Source organism: Homo sapiens, chromosome 15 (genome assembly GCF_000001405.40).
Source record: "Homo sapiens chromosome 15, GRCh38.p14 Primary Assembly".
In the NCBI taxonomy this organism is placed as follows: Eukaryota; Metazoa; Chordata; class Mammalia; order Primates; family Hominidae; genus Homo; species Homo sapiens.
Window position 1 is genome coordinate 79,665,132 of NC_000015.10, and position 8,961 is coordinate 79,674,092.

General features: G+C 39.7%; 1 pseudogene, besides 1 other annotated feature; it reads right to left on the reverse strand.

Annotated features, from left to right (window-relative positions):
- On the reverse strand, positions 3,058–3,964 carry RPL7L1P15 (RPL7L1 pseudogene 15; annotated as a pseudogene).
- Positions 8,480–8,759: an enhancer, noted in NCBI's record as "active region_9933". NCBI's record gives its function as "activates an Ori minimal core promoter by ATAC-STARR-seq in GM12878 lymphoblastoid cells {active_cell/tissue: GM12878}" and the evidence as "EXISTENCE:reporter gene assay evidence [ECO:0000049][PMID:35858748]".

Consider the following 8,961-nt stretch of genomic DNA (forward strand, 5'->3'; position numbering starts at 1 on the left):
TGTTTGTTGTGGGGGGTTAGGGGGCAATATTCAATCCATAACAGGGTGTGAAAGAAAGAGGGAAGTTGAGAAAGATGCCTTGGCTTTGGGCCTAAGCAAAGTGCCCTATATGGGAATGGGGGAGAATGAACAGGAGAGGTGTGATCAGATTTGTGGGAAGAAGTAAATAAAGAATTGCTTTGAACATGCTATGTTTGAGGTATCTATGAGAGAGTTGAGCTGGGAGAATAGAGAAGCCAGTTGTATTTCCAAATTTGGAGGTCAGAATTGGGAAATGGGCTGGGTAAATTTGGAAATCATAAGTGTATTAGGGATTTTGATGCCATGAAGCTAGATGAGATTGCCTAGGAAGCAAATGCAGGCAGAAGAAAATGATCTAAGAGTTGCACCTTGGGACACTCCAACATTTAGAGGTAGTGAATAAAAGAAGGATTGAACTAAGAATAAGAAGACAGTGACAGAGCTGGCAGTGGGATAGGAGGAAAGGCAGAAGAGTACAGAGTCTCAGAAACCAAATATGAAAGTATTTCAAGAAAGAGGGAGTAACCTAACGCATTAAATAAGCTGAAGGATCTACCAAGATGAGCATTTGGAATTGACCATTAGACTTAACATGGAAGTCATTGGTGACCTTGACAAAAGTTTCAGTTGAGTGGTGGTAATTAGATCTGTTTCAAGAACATGGGACATGAAGAAGTATATAAAGTATATAAAACACTTTAAAGATGGTTTTGCCTTTAGAGAAGATAAATAAGGTTATAATTGGAGGGGCATGTGGATTCCAGGGATAGTTATTTTTTATATGGGAGATATTGGGGTATGTTTAATTGGTGATGGAAATGATTCAGTTGAAGTGAAAATTGTTCTTGAAGGAGAGAAATGATCATTAACAAAGCAAAGTATGAGTAGGACAGAGGGATTGGAATCCAGGGCACAAGAATGAAACTTGGCCTTGGGCAGAAGCAGAGAGAGTTTATCCTTTATAAGAGAAGGGAAGACAAAGGACGTGAGTACTGTAGATATAGGTAGGTATGCAGCCCTAGTTATGGAAAATAAGGAGGTTATATTCTGATTACTTCTGTTTTCTTATTTAAAAAAAAAAAAGCTAGATCATTAGCTTAGACTGAAAAGGGGATGAGGGTGAGGTGGGAGGTTGGGAAGAAGGTTGAAGTGGTTATTCAGGAGAATGGACAAAGGAACTGACCAGAAAAATGGATAAGGCTTGCTGAGTTACATGGTCCTAAATTAAAGCAAGACTATTGAGTATGGTTATGGTTTTTTCTAGTCATATTTAAACAGGTGAAAAGTAAACAGAATACTGCCTTTAGCCAAATTAGGCAAGTATGACAGAGGGAGACAGGGGTGAGAGAGTTAAGTGGTTAAGCAAATGAGTGGTTATAATGATAAACCGTGGAATTCATAGATAAAAATGAAAGTAAAGAAATGTAGTGGACTTAATTGATGACTGGGAGGTCTTTATAGGTCAAATAATTGGTAGAATTTAAACTAGAAGAAGTGTGGCAGAAAGACCATAGAATGGGAAACTTGAGTCAAGGTTTTGGAGGTGGTGCCATTATTAATAATTGGTGGCTGAACTGTGACAGAGGAAAAGACAAAGAAAAAGGGGAATCAAGAAGCTGAGAGGTCAGACTTTTGGATGAGCAATCTACATGGATGTTGAAGTCTCCCATGATGATTATAGAGATAGGCAGTAAACCAATTGCTAACTTTCAATGAATAAATGATCAAAAGAGAATAGCCACAAAGATTCGGCATAAGTGCTACAAAAAGGGTAAATAGGTAGTGTAACTGATGACATTTGCTAAGGAAGCTGGAAGGTTTAGGGAAAAAGAAAAAGCGACGGTCAGCTAGCAGCAATGAAAAATCAAGGACACCTACCCCTTTGCTAGGTCCTATAACATTGGGGTATCATGTTAATGGGGAATTTCTTCTCTCCTTCCTAGCACTGTTCTTCTACCCTTCTCCCCTGCTCACTCATCTTCCCAGACGACCTGTTCACAGCTGAGCACAGGAGGAAAGGGAATTTAGGGAAAGATCTTACTTTGCTGGTACCTTTGAGACATCTGGAGACTCTTTTAGGGGTTTTTTGCAGTTTGGGAAACTGGGAAACTCCAATGGAAATTTTTATGATGTGGGTGATGCCTTTCCTCTGGCCTGGCCATATATGACTCCAACTCCTGAAACCTTGCATCCAGAGACAGGTCTTGTATACATTCCTGTTAGAGCCCCTACTGCCCTCCCAATGGCCCTCGTGGACAAAGTCCCTTGGGCGAAGTCTACATTCCATGCTGGTTTTCCCAATGCCCATATCTGCTGTATGGGAAACATTCCTGAAAGCTTGCCCCTGCCAGTGGTGGAAGTGGCACCTACCCCCAAAGCAATTATCTTCCTCTTTGTTCTGCTTCCTGGGGTCGAAAGCTTGCTGCAACTTCCTGCCTTTAGATCTCATATTCCTGAGTCTACTAGTAGTCCATTTTGTCCCTTCAACCCTCAGAACACATATCAAGTTCTAAAGGTGAAGACCTTCACACCAAGCCTGAAGTAATCTCAAAGCATCATCCCTCTCATTCTCCAGAGATATTTTTTTCTTTCTCCTTGAGTGTTCACTCTTTCAAACACTCCAGGAGAGTGATGGACTAAGGGATCAAAATATAATCCCTTAATATTCTTATACTCGTTGTTCTTTTTGTCTTTGTTTTTCTTTGCTTTTCTTTGCAGAGACAAGTGAACATTTATTTTTGGTCCTTTCTTCCTATGTGTATTTCAAATCTTTTTCAAAACAAGGCCCCAGGAATCTCCAGATTCAATTATGTCCCTGGGCTTGGTCAACCACTGCAGGAGTCTTAGGGAGCCTTGTACAAATGCTAGAGTTACTCATTTACCAACATTAAACCCTAGGGTAGAAGATGCACCAAAGCAGGACTCCTTCTTCCATGGAATGTGCTGATTTCAGACGAGATGGCAGCCAATGTAGAAAATGCTGGAATTTTTCCTTGGAACTGGATTGTGATGAGAGGTGCTTGCCATGAACATAAACTACTATCTTTTCTTTGACCCTTCCTTTCCAGTTTTTGAAGATAAAGCAGGAAATAATCTTCTCTGAAGATACTCAATAAAAATTCCAAAAAAAAACAGAAACACGTGCTTCCACTTCACTGATAAAAATTTACTGCAGTTTGGCACCTGGGTCTAGTTAAGCAGGCAGATGAGCTGATTGATGCATTCACCCCAATAGCCAGGTGTGCCCATCTCCTTGAGGAAGCCCACTCTATTTTTGGTACCATGACGGGCCACTGAGAGAGCACAAGAACCATGAGATCTCCTAGAAATGCTTCCCTGGGAAGGCAATTTCATGAATGAGATCTTCCAAGCAAATGACACCAAACTTCCCCAGATGCTCCTCAATAACTGTGTTGGCTGTCAGAGGGAGGGTCTTATTCTTGACCTTGGCTTGTCCATGTTTCAAAATGAGTTCCAGGACAGACATCAGATTTGGAAATCCCCAGGTCACATAAGGTTCCACCATACGCAGCATTTTTAGGTTCTGGGGAGTGACTTTTACAAAGACACCACTAAAAATTTTCTTTAGGCAAAGTCTTGCAATGGTTCTCTGCACCAGTAAACTCACACCATCAATCCTTTCCATGCGTACAACAAAGCCAAGGAATGTTTATCGGGCAATTCCAAGGCATGAGATTTCACTTCTAGTCATCTGAGACACACCTTGTCATGTTTCTGCTGCCAGAAATCATGTAGGAATGATTCCAGTCGCTTAAACCTGAATCCTTTTCCTTTCCTCTGCTCCTTCTTTGCCAAAAGTGCCTCCTTTGCCTGGGTGGCTTTGAGAGCTTGATAAACCTTCCCCTTTTTCAGGAGATTTTCTGGAACCAAAGAGATTTTTCTTTGCTCTTGCTCCGCCATCTTTCTAGTGCTGCAGCTACTGCTTTTTGAGATGGAGTCTCGCTCTGCTGCCCAGGCTGGAGTGCACTGGCACAATCTCAGCTCACTGCAACTTCTGCCTCCTGGGTTCAAGCAATTCTCTTGTCTCAGCCTCCCGAGTAGCTGGGACTACAGGTACGAGCCACCATGCCCAGCTAATTTTTGTATTTTTAGTAGAGATGGGGTTTCACCATATTGGTCAGGCTGGTCTTGAATTCCTGACCTCAGGTGTTCCACCTGCCGCCTCCCAAAGTGCTGGGACTACAGATGTGAGCCACCATGGCCAGCCTCTTATATTCTTACTATGAGAATATTTTTGGCCATTCCCTCCAAGAGTTCTGCAAATGGAGTCCAGCACCAAACTTTGAAACACGGGGAAAGGTGGCACCTAGTGTTTTATCCTTAGCCTTAGGAACCTCTCCAGATACACAGAGAGGAAGAGTTCGGTATTAATACGCTGCTACATTAGTAACTAATATTCTCATCCTTCTTCACTCCTAACAAAATTTAGATCTTGTTAATAATTTAGGCCGGGCGCGGGGGCTCACGCCTGTAATCCCAGCACTTTGGGAGGCCGAGGCGGGCGGATCACGAGGTCAGGAGATCGAGACCATCCCGGCTAAAACGGTGAAACCCGTCTCTACTAAAAATACAAAAAATTAGCCGGGCGTAGTGGCGGGCGCCTGTAGTCCCAGCTACTTGGGAGGCTGAGGCAGGAGAATGGCGTGAACCCGGGAGGCGGAGCTTGCAGTGAGCGGAGATCCCGCCACTGCACTCCAGCCTGGGCGGCAGAGCGAGACTCCGTCTCAAAAAAAAAAAATAATAATAATTTTTACTTCCCAAGGTTTATAAATCTTGGATTTGGTTCTATAACTCCCACAATAAAAGGACTACCAGTGCTTTTTCTTTTTTAAGCTTTTTAATTCCTCAGGAGGGAGGGGTGTTTAATTTCTTGGTTGGCTGGATTTCATTGTCAGTTAGGTTGTTTTGTTCACATATGCTTTACTCACATTATGTCTGAGAAAGACCTTTGCTCAGATACTCAAAAGATATCTTGACTACATGCACTACTCACATGTCATATTTTCTTCTGCTCAACACCTTACAGATATTGCTCCATTGGCTTCCAACTCTAAATGATCCTCTAGTCCTTATATAGTGGACTCTCCTTTTATGAATTGGAGAAATCAATGACCGCCTTGATTTTACAGCTGAACAGTAGGTATTCATGTTCTTGTTTTCTCCCAAGTAAAGCTCATATGTGCTATAATTCTCATTGGAGTATTTCCCACATATGGTCTTCATATGCAAGAGATGATTATATTGGTAGAAAATCATTGGGTCAAACCCTCTTTTCCCTTGAACTTTAGACATTGTTCCATTGTATTCTGGCATTGAATATTGCTATGAAAAAGTATTAGGTCAGCAAGATTTTGTTCATTTGTAGGTATCCTGATTTTTCTGCCTAGGTACTTGAAGAGATCTTTCTTCTTTTCAAAAAGGTTTATAAGACATACATGCCACCAAAAATCATATGAAAAAAAGCTCAACATCACTGATCATTAGAGAAATGCAAATCAAAACCGCAATAAGATTCCACCTTACACCAGTCAGAATGGCTACTATTAAAAAGTCAAAAAATAACAGATGCTGGCGAGGTTAGGGAGAAAAAGGAATGCTCACACACTGTTGGTGGGAGTGTAAATTAGTTCAGCCATCGTGAAGGACAGTGTAGTGATTCCTCAAAGACCTAAAGACAGAAATACCATTCAACCCAGCAATCCCATTGCTGGGTATATACACAAAGGAATATAAATTGTTCTATTATAAAGACACATGGATGCCAATGTTCACTGCAACACTATTCACAATAGCAAAGACATGGAATCAACCTAAATGCCTATCAACGATAGACTGGATAAGAAAATGTAGTACATATACACCATGGAATACTATGCAGCCATAAAAAGAATGGGATCATGCCCTTTGCAAAGACATGGATGGGGCTGGAGGCCATTATCCTTAGCAAACTAACACAGGAACCATAAACCAAATGCTGAATGTTCTCACTTACAAGTGGCAGCTAAATGATGAGAACACATGGACACATACAGGGGAACAACACACACTGGGGCCTATTGAAGAGTGGAGGGTAGGAGGAGGGAGAAGATCAGGAAAAACAACTAATGGGTACTAGGCTTAATATCTGGATGATGAAATAATCTGTACAACAAACCCCCATGACACAAGTTTACCTGTGTAACAAACCTGCACATGTACCCCTGAACTTAAAATAAAAGGTAAAAAATAATTATTTAACAACGTATGTTCAGTAAATTCTAATGTTCTGCATCCGCATTCTATATCATTTTGTCAATATTTCCTGAAACATGGTGGGTTCTTTCAATATGCATATTAGATTTTTACTTATTTCAAGGAAAATTTTATTCTATCACAACTTTGGCTATATTTTTTGGTGTCACTTGTTTCTATGTCATTTATTCTATAGTTTCTTGGACATAATTTATTTTGTTGGATGATGTTGGATCATCTTTATTAATCACTTATATCTATTAGTCCTTCTTGAACTGCTATTCTCTCTTGATTATTCTCTGCATTCAATCGAGCCTTTCTTCTATGTTAGCAATTCAATTTTCAGCTATGGCCATTCTAATCCTTGAAAATTCTAATTTAGTTATAAATTATGTAATGCAGTTGGGTGTTTTTGTTTCTCTGCATTCCTCTTTTTTATCTTATACTGTTTTTCTTTTTAAATCTGTTGTCAAACACTTATTTAATAAAATTCATAGTTTTATTAAGCTCTTCAGAGTAAAATACTCTCGGGTAATCTTTCCCATAAGTTGTCCTCTTTTGCAGACTGTTTATCAGTCTTTAGTGTGCTAGATTGATTTTACCTTTTCCTGTACTATTTTAATAAAACCATTATTTTTATTGTTAATAGTTACTGAATGGTTCTCTGTGTGCCAGACCCTGTTCTCTGCAATTTCCATATATTAATCCTCTAATTATTATAACACAACCCTGTCAGGCAGATACAATTATTTGCTCCATTTTAAAGGTGATGAAACTGTACGTTTGAATAATTACTATGATGTTTCTTTTCATTTTGCTCAGGCTTATGTGGGCACTTTCATCCACACCTTTTCCTTGCTATAGTTTAGTACAGATGAGTTTTCTTTGGTACCATGTTCACCTTAATATTATACCTGCTTATCTTCCCTTTCCAACTATAGTCTGGGGACTCAGAGTAATGTGTCCTATTATTTCTATAACCATAGAATTTGGAAAGAGGGGGAGAAAGACAGAACTCCCCCTTCAAAGGTTATATAAAATGTCCTGGGTTTGTTACCCTTAACTAAAAATGCTCTATTAGGTCTCTAAGTTCAGGAAAAAGCCTTGAAAAAATGAATATTCCTACATTTTTTCTCTGCATTAGATGCCATCCTAGGATGCTGCAGTGACTGGAACTGAAGCTTTTTCTCTTGAGGATTTTCCTTTATGTTTCCTCCAAGTAGCTCACTTACCTCCTTAGTGTATTTCTTCTGAAATTTGGGATTTAAGGGGAAATTCTCAAGACGTGTTAACAAGTCCATCTTCCTTCCCCCATGCAGCTTTGAGGTGGGGTAGAGGCTATGTTAAGACCCACAAGGAATCTTTCCAGTAAGGTTGATTTCTTTCTTAGGACCCCATTTTTAAAGTTAGGACACTAAATGGTATCCCTTCCTGCTTTCCTTTTTTATTATTTTCTATTTTTAATTTATGTGATCAGGTAATAGGGAGTTTCTATGACCTGGATTCATCCTGCTATCTTTACCGAAAACTTGACTGGTACTTTATGACATTAAATAAATATATCTGGTAACCAATGTTTGCTTTTCCCCAGAATAGAATATTTCCATTTTATCATAAAACACTTGTACATGTATGGCATTAAAGTACTGAGATTCAACTACAAGACAAGTCTTATGTTTTGTTTCATTTTTTATGTCTATTCTATGGACTAAGTATCACCTGAAAAAACACAGTCTTCAGAAGCTTTTAGCAGTTTTCAGACTAGGGGACTTCTAGAATTTTCCTCCTTTTTGTATGGTTACATTGGTAAAGATGTTTTAGTCATAGAATAGTTTCTGGACATAGTCTTCCTACAATCTAAGAATAGAAGTTGATCCTTTAAAATCAGACTTAGAAAAATAAACAAAAATTTACAAAAATAAAATCACACACAGGAACTTTAACTTTTACATTTTTGTGTAAAATGAATACGCAAAAAGTCTCAAAAGAAAAATGTTCCCATTACATATGTTTTAAGTGGATTTCTCCCCTTGGAAGCCACCTCTGAGGAGATATTTTTAAAATATTTTAAAATATAGCTTCTACAGTGTTTTTCCCAACTGCTAAGTTGAGACCTGATTCATACTTCTGATTTTTCTCTTTGGGACGGGAGAAGGGGGGATAGAAATGATGATTAATTACAAAAGAACCACTTCCGCAAAGCCACAGCAGGGGGAGGGCAAAAGCAGATGCCTTCTGATTCACTTTGAAAAGGAGATTTGCTCATCTTCCTTCTTTGGCTTGTGTTTTTGGCTTGTGTCTGTCATTCGGCCCCCAACTGGGATGTGTTTTTACATTCATTTTGTCTTTAGAAAAGATATATCCAATCAAAAAGTTTAAGCTGCTCTTGACATTAATAAAGCTGATGAAGATAAAAAAGGAAAACCTACTGTCTTAGTCTGTTTCCTGCGGCAATAACAGCACAGGGCTCACTGTATTACCAGGGTCAGGGCTCAGTGTGTGACCAGGATTGGGGTTCAGTATGGACCAGGGTCAGGGCTCAGTGTGTGACAAGGGTTGGAGCTCAGCCTGTGATTATGACCAGAGTTCCATCTGGAGCTGCTCTCATAAGCTAATGTTTTCAGGGCCTTGGCTTCCCCTTAGAGCAAGATCACAAGGGCTCAGGGACTGCCTGCTGAGAGCAAGGTA